The sequence below is a fragment of the Homo sapiens genome, chromosome 16 (assembly GCF_000001405.40).
Source record: "Homo sapiens chromosome 16, GRCh38.p14 Primary Assembly".
NCBI lineage: Eukaryota > Metazoa > Chordata > Mammalia > Primates > Hominidae > Homo > Homo sapiens.
Window position 1 is genome coordinate 89,027,486 of NC_000016.10, and position 13,192 is coordinate 89,040,677.

The 13,192-nt window shown below is 50.9% G+C and overlaps 5 annotated features.

The window, feature by feature from the left end:
* Positions 4,615 to 4,674: an enhancer, noted in NCBI's record as "active region_11389". NCBI's record gives its function as "activates an Ori minimal core promoter by ATAC-STARR-seq in GM12878 lymphoblastoid cells {active_cell/tissue: GM12878}" and the evidence as "EXISTENCE:reporter gene assay evidence [ECO:0000049][PMID:35858748]".
* Positions 4,685 to 4,744: an enhancer, noted in NCBI's record as "active region_11390". NCBI's record gives its function as "activates an Ori minimal core promoter by ATAC-STARR-seq in GM12878 lymphoblastoid cells {active_cell/tissue: GM12878}" and the evidence as "EXISTENCE:reporter gene assay evidence [ECO:0000049][PMID:35858748]".
* Positions 6,954 to 7,840: an enhancer, noted in NCBI's record as "H3K27ac-H3K4me1 hESC enhancer chr16:89100847-89101733 (GRCh37/hg19 assembly coordinates)". NCBI's record gives its function as "activates a minimal SCP1, AML or CMV promoter by ChIP-STARR-seq in primed H9 embryonic stem cells {active_cell/tissue: H9 hESC(primed)}" and the evidence as "EXISTENCE:reporter gene assay evidence [ECO:0000049][PMID:30033119]".
* Positions 9,963 to 10,470: an enhancer, noted in NCBI's record as "H3K4me1 hESC enhancer chr16:89103856-89104363 (GRCh37/hg19 assembly coordinates)". NCBI's record gives its function as "activates a minimal SCP1, AML or CMV promoter by ChIP-STARR-seq in primed H9 embryonic stem cells {active_cell/tissue: H9 hESC(primed)}" and the evidence as "EXISTENCE:reporter gene assay evidence [ECO:0000049][PMID:30033119]".
* Positions 12,681 to 12,740: an enhancer, noted in NCBI's record as "active region_11391". NCBI's record gives its function as "activates an Ori minimal core promoter by ATAC-STARR-seq in GM12878 lymphoblastoid cells {active_cell/tissue: GM12878}" and the evidence as "EXISTENCE:reporter gene assay evidence [ECO:0000049][PMID:35858748]".

A 13,192-nucleotide genomic window follows, 5' to 3' on the forward strand; every position in this document is an offset into this window, starting at 1 on the left:
TGTGTTCTGTTCTGGGTGGGTGGGAGTGTCCTATCAATGTCAACTAAGTCATGTTGGTTGATATGTTGTTTTTGTCTTTTGCATCCTTGCTGATTTTCTGTCTGCACATTCAGTTGCTGAGAGAGGAGCACTGAACGCCCTAGAATTGTGGGTTTGTCTGTGTTTCTCTGTGGATCTATGTTGCTTCCCATATTTTGAAACTGTTATTAAATGTGTGTATATTTAGGATTGTTTTGTGTTTCTGATGAACTGACAAGTTTATGACTATATGTTCCTCCTTAATTCTGATAATATGGTCTTGCAGTCTATTTTGTCTGATATTAATGAAATCACTCCAGCTTGCCTATAGTACTATTTGTGTGATGTATCTTTTTCCATCCTCTTACTTTCAAACTATCTGTGCTTTATATTTAAACTATTCTCTTGCAGACAACAGATGGTTGAGTCTAGCTTTTTTAAATCCAGACTGGCAATCTTTGCTTTTGTAAATTTAAGTTTTATTATCTTTGCTTTTTAACTGAAGTGTTAGTCAATTTACACTTAATGTAATTATTGACATGTTTGGGCATAAATCATCTTGCTATTTGTTTTATATTTGTCCCCCTTGGTTTTTGTTTTGAATTTTCCTCCTTTCTTGCCTTCTTTTGAATTATTTAATTATTTCTTAGTATTCCATATTCTTTAATAAAAAACATTTATTTAGAGATGGGGTCTTACTCTGTCACCCAGGCTGGAGTACAGTGGCACAATCCTAGCTGACTGTAACCTCAAACCCCTGGGCTCAAGCAATCTTCCCACCTCAGCCTCCTGAGTAGCTGAGACTAGATGAGAGGCACTGTGCCCAGCTAATTTAAAAAATCTTTTTGGAGAGACAGGGTCTCACTGTGTTGCCTAGGCTGGTCTTGAACTGCTGGGCTCAAGTGATCCTTCCACATCAGCCTCCCAAAGTGTTGGGATTACAGGTGTGAGCCATGGTGCCTGGCCATTTTATTTATTTCATATACGTATACGTGTGTGTGTGTGTGTATTTATTTATTTGGAGGCTACACTTCTGTTTAGGATTTTAACAGCTGCACCAAGGATTACAGTGTCTACCTTGCATTTATATTATTTTGCTTCATGTAGAATGGAAGAAAATTGCAATATGGTACCATTTACCCATGTTTGTGTTTCAGTCATACATTCTACTTCACAAATATTATGACTCTTATAATATCTTTTTATTATTTTTACTTAAAATGGTCAGTTGTCTTTAACATAAAATTAATACAGGAGTAAAGCACACTTTATATTAATATATGGGTAAAGCAGACTTTATATTAATACATGAGTAAAGGGGACTTTATATTAATATATGAGTAAAGCGGACTTTATATTAATACAGGAGTAAAGGGGACTTTATATTAATATATGAGTAAAGGGGACTTTATATTAATATATGAGTAAAGGGGACTTTATATTAATACAGGAGTAAAGCAGACTTTATATTAATACATGAGCAAAGGGGACTTTATATTAATATATGAGTAAAGGGGACTTTATATTAATATATGAGTAAAGGGGACTTTATATTAATATATGAGTAAAGGGGACTTTATATTAATATATGAGTAAAGGGGACTTTATATTAATATATGAGTAAAGGGGACTTTATATTAATATATGAGTAAAGCGGACTTTATATTAATACAGGAGTAAAGGGGACTTTATATTAATATATGGGTAAAGGGGACTTTATATTAATACAGGAGTAAAGCAGACTTTATATTAATATATGAGTAAAGGGGACTTTATATTAATATATGAGTAAAGGGGACTTTATATTAATATATGAGTAAAGGGGACTTTATATTAATATATGAGTAAAGGGGACTTTATATTAATATATGAGTAAAGGGGACTTTATATTAATATATGAGTAAAGGGGACTTTATATTAATATATGAGTAAAGCGGACTTTATATTAATACAGGAGTAAAGGGGACTTTATATTAATATATGGGTAAAGGGGACTTTATATTAATACAGGAGTAAAGCAGACTTTATATTAATATATGAGTAAAGGGGACTTTATATTAATATATGAGTAAAGGGGACTTTATATTAATACAGGAGTAAAGCAGACTTTATATTAATATATGAGTAAAGGGGACTTTATATTAATATATGAGTAAAGGGGACTTAATACAGGAGTAAAGCAGACTTTATATTAATACATGAGTAAAGGGGACTTTATATTAATATATGAGTAAAGGGGACTTTATATTAATACAGGAGTAAAGCAGACTTTATATTAATATATGAGTAAAGGGGACTTTATATTAATATATGAGTAAAGGGGACTTTATATTAATACATGAGTAAAGCAGACTTTATATTAATATATGAGTAAAGGGAACTTTATATTAATATATGAGTAAAGGGGACTTTATATTAATATATGAGTAAAGGGGACTTTATATTAATATATGAGTAAAGGGGACTTTATATTAATATATGAGTAAAGGGGACTTTATCTTAATACAGGAGTAAAGGGGACTTTATATTAATTCATGAGTAAAGCGGACTTTATATTAATACATGAGTAAAGCAGACTTTATATTAATATATGAGTAAAGCAGACTTTATATTAATATATGAGTAAAGGGGACTTTATATTAATACAGGAGTAAAGCAGACTTTATATTAATATATGAGTAAAGGGGACTTTATATTAATATATGAGTAAAGGGGACTTTATATTAATACAGGAGTAAAGCAGACTTTATATTAATATATGAGTAAAGGGGACTTTATATTAATATATGAGTAAAGGGGACTTTATATTAATACAGGAGTAAAGCAGACTTTATATTAATACATGAGTAAAGGGGACTTTATATTAATATATGAGTAAAGGGGACTTTATATTAATACAGGAGTAAAGCAGACTTTATATTAATATATGAGTAAAGGGGACTTTATATTAATATATGAGTAAAGGGGACTTTATATTAATATATGAGTAAAGGGGACTTAATACAGGAGTAAAGGGGACTTTATATTAATTCATGAGTAAAGCAGACTTTATATTAATACATGAGTAAAGCAGACTTTATATTAATATATGAGTAAAACAGACTTTATATTAATATATGAGTAAAGGGGACTTTATCTTAATACAGGAGTAAAGGGGACTTTATATTAATATATGAGTAAAGGGGACTTTATCAATACAGGAGTAAAGGGGACTTTATATTAATTCATGAGTAAAGCAGACTTTATATTAATACATGAGTAAAGCAGACTTTATATTAATATATGAGTAAAGCAGACTTTATATTAATACGTGGGTAAAGGGGACTTTCTATTTACTTCATGTTTGCCACCTCCAGGGCTCTTCACGTCTTTGTGTGGATCTGAAATTCCATGTGGCATCATTTCCCTTCAGCCTGAAGGGCTTCCTTCACATTTATTTATGTACAGTTCTTCTAGTGATTCATTTTCTCAGATTTTGTTTATCTGAATGCTTTATCTCACCTTAATTTTTGAAGGACTTTTTTTTCCTGCAGAGTGTAGGATTTTGAGCTCACAGTTCTAACACTCTAAAGATACTGTTCCATTGTCCTCTGGCTTGCATTGTTTCTGATTAGAAGTCAAAGATTTTGTTTGTTTTGAGAGGGAGTCTCACTCTGTCACCCAGGCTGGAGTGCAGTGGCACGATTTCAGTTCATTGCAACCTCTGCCTCCCTGGTTGAGGCGATTCTCGTGCCTGAGCCTCCTGGGAAGCTGGGATTACAGGTATGTGCCACGATGCCTGGCTAATTTTTGTATTTTTAGTAGAGATGGGGTTTCAGCCTATTGGCCAGGTTGGTCTCGAACTCCTGACCTCAGGTGATCACCCGTGTTAGCCTCCCACAGGGCCGGGATTATAGGCATGACCTGCCATGCCTAGGCTCTTTGGATTGTTTTTATGTATCCATCTTCAAGTTTGCTAACCATTTCTTCTGTAGTCCAATCCTCTGTTGGACTCATCTAGTGAATTTTAAATTTTAGATATTATAATATTTAGTTCTAGATTTTTTAATATCATTTCCCCTTCCATAGTTTCCATTCTTTTGAGAATCTCTATCTCCTCACTCATGTCTTTCTCTTCTTTTAAATCTTTCTCTTTGAATTCCAACATCTGTGTCATCTCTGGCTCTGTTCTATCAACTTCTCTTCTGGTTAAATTTGCCTGCTTCTTTGCATATATAATAATTTTTATTGTATGCTGAACATCATGGAGGCTATATTGAGAGTTTGGATGATGTTGTCATCTTTAAAGATGGGAAGTTTTGTTCTAGGAGATGGCTGTCAGCTTGAGTTTAGACTTTGCGAGGGCAGGTTCTCAAGCAATCCTTAGCCTGTGGCTAGGATAGTCCTCCTGAGACCTGCCTTACTGGGGTTGTCAGCGAGGTCTTTCCACTCAAGCTGTTTGGGTCACACAGTGTCTTCCAGCACTGTTTTACCTCCAAACTCTTTCCTCCATGCAAAACGCTTTGTCTTGGCCAGGCCTTGTGAAGTCCTTCCTATACGGCTCAAGGGAACTCCTGTACAGATTCCTGGGCTCCTTTTCTTTGCACAGCTTCCTCCTTTCTGTTCGCCGCAAGTTGCGGACACCTCGGCAGCCCCATACTCCCCGCTCTGCTTCTCTGCCTGTTGAGACATCTGTGCTGGGTTGAGTCCCCACTTCCTTGTCCTGTGGTTTGGAAAGTACCTCCCAGCAGAAAGCTTGGGTGCACGTGGAAATATCTGTTGTGCAGTGCCTGAAAACAGTTCATTTACATTTCATCCAGTTAAACAATTGTTTATAGAAGGAGGATGAGCCTGACGGACACCCGTGATTTTTATCATGGCTGGGAGTGGACGCCATGCCCTGCCTTGGCAGCATCCTGCCTTCCCACTTGTAGTGCCGTTCCCACCACACCCTCAGTCCCATCAGAGCCCCTCGTTCCTCCTGGCCCCATCCACACGCTACATCTCAGTAATGCGTCCCTGATCTGCACTCTGAGCCTCACCCGTCCTCCCCTGATCTGCACTCTGAGCCTCACCCGTCCTCCCCTGATCTCCACTCTGAGCCTCACCCGTCCTCACCTGATCTCCGCTCTGAGCCTCACCCGTCCTCACCTGATCTCCGCTCTGAGCCTCACCCGTCCTCACAGGCGTCTTCACTGCTTGTGTGCCCTCTGAAAATTCTCTGTGGCATCTGGCACAACGTGGCTTCAACAAAGGTGGATTTATCTGAATTGGGGCTGAAGCAGTGGGAACTGCTCTCACGAACCACTCCTGGTCTTTCAGTTGGGCCAGAGCCGGCATTTAAAGGCGTGGAGGGGAGTCTGGACTGTCAGAAATTCAACCTCTTTATTTTCTAGATGAGGAAATGGATCCAGAAAAGTTTCATAATGTATTTCAATTATGTCATTTATTTATTTATGATTTTTTAAAATTTTGAGAGGGAGTTTCACTCTTTTTGCCCAGCCTGGAGTGCAGTCGTGTGATCTCAGCTTACCGCAACCTGCACATCCCAGGTTCAAGCGATTCTCCTGCCTCAGCCTCCTGAGTAGCTGGGATTGCAGGCATGTGCCACCATACCGGGCTAATTTTGTATTTTTAGTAGAGATGGGGTTTCTCCATGTTGGTCAGACTGGTCTCGAACTCCCAACCTCAGGTGATCCACCCACCTCGGCCTCCCAAAGTGTTGGGAGTACAAGCGTGAGTCACTGCGCCCGGCCTATTTATTTATTTATTTATTTAAAGTATCAAACAGCAGCCATGAGTTAGGCTCTGGGGATACAGAGAAATTGCTTTGCCCTCAAAAAGCTCTGAGATGGTAGAGTGGGGGAAATAGAGGAATAAACGAGTGGCATCCACTCAGGACCCTGCGTGGTGTGAGCTTGCCGGGGAAAGCCTGGTACAGGCAGGGAAGACCTGGAGGAAGGCAGGGAGGCTGAGCTGTGAGGTCATCGGGAGAGGGCCAGGAAGGGGCACGTCCATGCCACCGGGAGAGCATGTGGAAGGGCCCCAGGGGCCCTGCGAGGACAGTTTTGAGGGTGCACGTGGTGCCCTGAGGATTTGGGGCAAGGGCTGGCATGGGAGGGTGAACTCGATGGGATGGCAGTGAGGAGCAGCAGGAGGTTCCAGGCCAGGGCAGGGTGATCCAGTGTGTTGTTTCTGTCCAGCCACCGTGGCTGGACAGGCCAGAGGAGAGGGGGTGTGGGAGGCAGTGGGCAGCTGGGAGCTCTTCCAGAGAGGGGGTCATGGGATGAAGCAGAGGAGGTGGGCTCTAGGGGGACTCAGGAGGTAGAAGGGGAAGCAGACCCCCTCCCCACAGCCAATTTGCTGTTCCAAAGCTGAGACCAAGGCCCGAGGGCACCCAGGGAGCGTGTGTGCTGCCATTCACCCTGCATCTGTGCTGGTGCTCCGGTCGTGGTGCCGGGATTTGCTCTCACTGGTGAGGGAAGAGACTTGGGTTCATGGAGGGGCAGAAGGTGCCATGCCCTGGCTCACACAGCACACGGGCAGGGCTGGGGCCAGAGCCCAGCACTCGGACTGCAGGCAAGTGCATGGCCTCCCTGGGCGTCCACCCGCACTGCAGGGCTGAGCTGAGCAAATGTTAGTGGGTGGCCAGAGCTGCACGTGCACACACACACTCAAGCATGGGTTCCCCCCCACAAGTTCACACACACACTCACGTGTGGATTCACCTGCACTCACATGCGTGGGTTCACCCGCACGCATTCACACACACATGTGTGGGTTCACCTACACTCACACTCATGCTTGGGTTCACCCACACGCACTCACACACACACGCGTGGGTTCACCCGCACTCACACACTCCCACACGTGGGTTCACTCGTATGTATTCACACGCACACTCACGTGTGGGTTCACCTGCACACACTCACATGCACACTCACACGTGGGTTCACCCACACGCGCACACACACAGAGCACACTCTGGCGCATGCATGGACACAGTCAGGCCCGTGCTCTCTGAGGTCCGATGGAGGGCATCGTTCTGGGAGCTTCCCTGACCCCTGGGTGTCCCGCGCCTGCCCTCTTCAGTGGTGGTGGAGGCCGGGCAGGCCGCGGTACCAGTGGGAGGAGAGGCTGGCTATGGAGTTGGTGCCTGGCATTCTTTCCTAGCACACTTGGGGCACCTTCCCTGGCAAGGTCAGGCAGACAGGCCAGGCTAGGCCTCCTGTCAGGGACCCAGCAGGATGCCACGTAGCAGAGGCACCAGCACATCCCAAACTGGCCGTGCCCACGGCCTCGTGGTGAGAGCAGGGCCACCAGCCAGGAACCAGCATGCTGGCAGGAGGTGGGAAGAAACTTTGTTTTTGGCTGCGGCCTCCTCTGTCCTGGAGAAAGTGGCCACAGGGCTTGTAGAGGCAGGTGGAGAGGGGCAGGGCCTGTGTTGAGGCCGGGGGGCCGGGTGTGCCTGGGAGCACAGCCCCCACCTGCTTGCCCCTCCCCGGCCCCCTCTGCTTCACCCGGAGCTCCTTCTCTCCCTCCTCTGCTCCTGCCCCTGCCGTCCGTTCCTCTCTCTCCCTTCAGATTCATCCTCTCCTCCTGCAGCAACAAAGAAACCACTGCCACCCCCGCCCCCACCGCTCTCCCCAAGACACAATGCGAGACCTGTTTATCAATTTGCCACTCTCTCTCCTCGCCGTCTCTCTCCCCGCCTTGTTCTTTATCTTTTTCTCTCTCCTTCCTCGTCCCCCTCCCCCTCCCTCCTCTTCATTCTCTCTCTCTCTCCCTCTTGAAAAGCAAGAGAAATGGAAGTCAAGATCTTCTCCTGGTGATAATTATTGAAAAGTTCAGCACAGAAGCAGACAGCGATGCTGCAGGGGGAGGGGGATATTAAAATGCATGTGCACAGCTTGGCTTTGCAGCAGATGTTGGCATAATTAGAGAGGAAAAAATTATGAAATTAATTTGCGGTTCAATGTAAATTTCAGTGATGGGGGAAAGCTGGGCTCCAGTCACCTCATGAGCACAGATAGACATGCACATATGCACACACGCACGCACACGCACACACACATGGACACACGAACACACACACACGCACACACGCACACACATGAACTTGCACACGTGCACACACGCACACACACATACACGGACACCCCAGCCGCCAGGGAAGGGGTAATTGTCAGTCTCGTGCAAGGAGAGAGGATCTGGCATGAGCAGCAGGGTGCCGGGAGTAGAGGGTGGGATTCTGCCTCTTAAAAGCTCAAAGGCAGGGGACAGCGCCCCTCCCCAGGGTCCCAGGCTCACATCCTCAGGTACAGGGAGGGTGGCCCCTGGCTTAGGACTAAGCCACAGGGCTCCCTGAGTGTTCCCCACGCTTCCAGTGTGCAGGGCCCTTCTCCCACTTCCAGCAGGTGAGGACAGGTAGAGGGGTGGACGCCACCACACCAATGAGAGGAGAGGAGCTGGGAGGTGAAGGCAGTGCGGGATTTGGAGGAGACAGTGACGTTGGCTGTTCTGGGGGATGTCAGGCCGGGAGACGAAAGGAGGTGGCAATGGAGAGTCATGGAAAATTCTGGAACGGGGGCGGTGGGAACGGCGCTGCCTGGGACTCTCGAGCCCCTTGCTCAGAGGTCACCTTCTTCCAGCTGTCCTCCCTCTGTGGCTCCGAGGTCCTTACTGTTGCTCCCGCCCCCACCCCCAGGCCCCCAGCTTCGCTGAGGCCACACACAGGCAGCCCCACCAGGAAACCCTGGCTCTCCCCATCCCCCTCATCCTGCCCTCCACCATTCAGCTGACTGAGGGACCCTCCACACCTCTTTCCCTATCTGCTCCATGAGGGCCAGGTGGAGGCCAGATGGGGGCTTCCCACCTGCTGCCCGGGGTGCTGTGCCAAGGACAGGAGGAGAGGTCTGTGAATGCAGCCCTGCTCTGCCAGTGTCAGGACACCCACCCTGGCTGAGGAATCACCCCACTGTCCCCCTGCCGGCCTCAGGACAGCCACCCCGGCTGAGGAATCACCCCACTGTCCCCCTGCCGGCCTCAGGACAGCTACCCCGGCTGAGGAATCACCCCACTGTCCCCCTGCCGGCCTCAGGACACCCACCCCGGCTGAGGAATCACCCCACTGTCCCCCTGCCAGCGTCAGGACACCCACCCCGGCTGACAAATCACCCCACTGTCCCCCTGCCAACCTCAGGACACCCACCCCGGCTGAGGAATCACCTCACTATCTCCCTGCTGGCGTCAGGACACCCACCCCAGCTGACAAATCACCCCACTGTCCCCTTCGGGGTCCCCAGCCAGAGCCTCAGACTCCGTAGGCTCCATCCCCACCTGCCAGGTCTCTTCCTTCCTCATCCTGATGCATTCATAGTGCGATGCTAGGCCTTCTCCTCCAGGAAGACTTCCCTGACCACCCTCTGAGGGCAGGGTGCCCACAGTCTGGATCAGTCACGGCCGGCTGCATTATCAATGGGGCCTGTGCCCTGCGCAGTCCTGAGCTCGTCTGCGCGGGGCTGCTGGCCTCTAGCAAGGTGCACCGGGGTGTGAGGTGCAGGCGGAGAGGTGCGGGCAGGCTAGGGGTTTGCTCCATTCTCTTGGCCGCCTGAAAGTCATCAACGTGGCAGGTTCTCCGCTGACCCTTCTGGACCCAGGGAGGCTAGGAGATGGACCCCAAGAACCAAGTGTTAGAGGTTGAGACACCCCAGGAGACGGGCGCTGAGAAACCACAGCCCTGCAGTGAGTGCTGGGCAGGGAGGGGTCCTGCCTGTCCCCTGTAGTGTCCTGAGCCTGATCTCCACTGTCCTGGGGTGGCTGAGGAGCCCTTCTGCAGGGTGCCGGACAGCGGCTCCAGTCCTGGTCGGGTCAGTTTTGCGTTTTGGGTGGTGCCCCATGGTCCCAGTCACCCGGCTGTGGCTTCGACATGACGCAGGGTAGGGGGGTGAATGTGCTTTAAGGAGGCCCCGGCCCTAGGTGGACACAGGCGCACAGAGAAGACAGGGCCCCAGAGGGTCTCAGTGATCTGTCCAGGACCTGGGCCCGTGGGCTGTGGCGCCGAGGCTGGACACCAGGTCTGTGTGGGCACAGCGTCTGTGCTGCCTACTGTGGACGGGCACAGGCCTTTGTGAGGGTCCAGCTGGAGGCTCCTTGACCACACCCCTCCTGAGACGCTCCTGGTCCCGTGTGCCCATGATATCCGGGCTCAGGTGGCCACCACCCCCTAAGCTCTGCCCTGGATCCCACAGTGCTGGCTGCTGGCCCTCTCCGAGGTGCTGAAATGGCGTCCGGCGTCTGCCTCAGATGCAGTGGAGGCCGCTGAGGTCTGGGAGCCTCCACGTTTTCCGATGTTTGCTTTCTAAAGGGTGAGGAGAGGAGCGTGCGGGGAGGAGCGAGCACCTAGGCACTGTGAGAAGGAGAAATGGCAGAGGCCAGGCTCCTGGTGGGGCCTGGGTGGAGGGTCGGTGTCTCACTTGGGCTCGCAGCTGGGGAATTTCCAGGAAGGGGCTCTTCCATCTGGCTTTCCCCAAAGCAGCCCCAGCGGGCTTCCCTCCAGTCCTGGGGGCAGGGGCAGGGGAACAGCCTCTGTGACTTCCTTGCTCTGGATTCTTTGTTTTAATCCCTGTAAATTTACATCCTTATTTAACCCTAAAAAGTAGAAGCAGAAAGGGAAGTTGAGGCTGGGTGAGTCTGTCGGCTCTCTGGGGTGGGATCCCATACGTGTGTGTGTGCCAGTGTCAGGCATGCAGGGGGTGAGGCTGGGCACGGGAATGGGCAGCTCGCAGCCAGCCTGGGTGTGCAGGGCGAGTTTGCCGGGTGGAGGCAGCCGGCCAGTCCTGGGTCTGTGCACGGCTGGCCAGAGGCGGCCAGTGTGTGCGCTGCTGGCCCACATGAATCCATGCGTGTGTGCATGTGTGTGTGTGTGTGTGTGTGTGTGCGTGCGCGTGCATGTTCCTGGGGTGACTCCCAACAGCTCCCATCCCCTCCCCGACTCAGTAAGGCGCTCCCATTTTTCTGACATTTGTGCGCCTCACGTACCGGCAAGAAGTAATTTACTTAGAAGAAATTAAAAGTTCATGTTAATCGCGCACACTGCAGTATGCAAATGAGGAGCGTATTAAGCTCACTGATGCAGAGACGGAGCCCTCATCAGCACTTAACCCTCTGCACGCCGGCCCCTCATCAGCACTTAACCCTCTGCACGCCAGCCCCTCATCAGCACTTAACCCTCTGCACACCGGCTCCCCTTCTGCACAGGGTCCAGGCCTTGGAGAGGCCTCCCTGTTCTCAGGCGGAGGGGACGAGCTATGTCTGGAGCCCTCTCTGAGCTCTCTGCAGATGTCCATCCGGCATGTGCACGGCACCCTGGGGAGAGGCACAGGGTCTGAAACCCTCTCAGCTCCAGTCCGAGGCCATGGGTGGTGACGCTTTGGCCAGGCCCTGGGCTCTCTATGGGGCAGCCTCCTCAAGACTCCCAACTGGCCTGAGGCCACAGCAGAGAATCCCCAAGGCCTAACATGCCGTGCTCACCACAGAGGGAGGCTTCGAGGTGGTGGGTGGTGAGGACGAACCCCTTGCGGTCAATGCTGCCCCCGCCGCGCCGGCCATATCAACACCCCTTCCCGGGAAGGGTGGTGCTCGCCCTGCCTCCTTCCCAAGGTGGAGGTCTGCGGGGCGCAGGTCTCTGTCTGGGGCTGCCATCCACATACGCTGTGGCTCATGTACAGTGACCACCTGCTGCAGGATGAGACGGTGGCACCCGCCGCTCCCTGAGAGCGGCACTTCACTGCAGCTCAAGGGCCTGCTTCTGCAGTGAGGGCAGAGCCCCAGGGTGACAGTGTCTCCTGCAGGCCAGGCCCCTCCATGAGGCCAGCATCCTGTGCCCTCCCTGTGCTGTCACCTGCCACCCACGTACTACCATGGACAGGTGTCTCCTCGGAGGTTCAGAGGGGTAAGTGGCTGGACAAAGTCATGGAGAAATTTCGAGAATCAGAGCTGGCGTCTGGCTGGCTCCTGATGCCAGGCCCTGCCCCGTGGCCTCCTTGGGTGTTCAGGGGCCCGTGGGGCCATGGGACGTGGTGGGGGCACCTGGCCGCCTCCTTCAGCAAGGAAGAGAGATACAGCAGGGTTCTTCCCAGGCCCTGGTGGATCTTCCCACAGGGGCTCTTCCTCCCAGCCCAGGAGAGAGGGGTGGCCACAGAAGCCAAAAGAATTTGCCTAAAGCCTCCAAGGCAGCAAGCCCTGGGTCTCCTGGCCAGATCAGAGGCTCAGGGCTGGCCAGACCAAGGTGTTAGGTTCTGGCCGTGTGACACGGGTGTGGCGCCGCTGTGGCCACCCCGCCACACTTCTGGCATCGGGAGCTGTGCCTGCAGCCCCTGACAAGTGGCTGGTAGCCTCTACCCTCGCCTGCCTGCCGCCTGACTTCTTCCTCGGGCACCCGCATTGGATGACAGGTCCACACTTACCCAGCTCAGCCCAGCTCACCCCAGAGCAGTGGGGGCGGGGGAGAGAGTCCCCACCCTGTCTCCCCGAGGGGCCTGGCCCTGGGCTGGAAGCGGGGTTGCCGCTGAGCTGTGGCCATCCCCGGGTGCTGGTTTTCGTGTGATTTCCCCCACCTGTCAGACCTGGGTGGTGGTGGTGTTGTTACAGAGTCTCGCTCTGTCGCCCAGGCTGGAGTGCAGTGGCGCCATCTCGGCTCACCGCAAGCTCCGCCTCCCAGGTTCACGCCATTCTCCTGCCTCAGCCTCCTGAGTAGCCGGGACTGCAGGCGCCCGCCACCACGCCCGGCTAATTTTTTTGTATTTTTAGTAGAGACGGGGTTTCACCGTGTTAGCCAGGATGGTCTCGATGTGACCTCGTGATCCACCCACCTCGGCCTCCCAAAGTGCTGGGATCACAGGCATGAGCCACCGCACCCAGCCGACACCTGGGTTTTTAATGACAGTGAGATGAAGCTGGTTCATGGATGGAAGGCGGCAGCCACTCCAGGGCCAGCCCATGATGTCCAGGCCCCACAGAGGGAACCAGCCTGGCTGGCCTGGGGGAGCAAGGGCTAGAGCCAGATCCTCTTGACACCCCAAAGCCATTCCCCAAGGGCAGCATCCGCCTAATGGCACTGTCCCTTGTGGGCAGCTGGGGAGCCTGACCACATCCCGGCTCCACATCCACACACCAGGGCCCCCACCCATCCCCT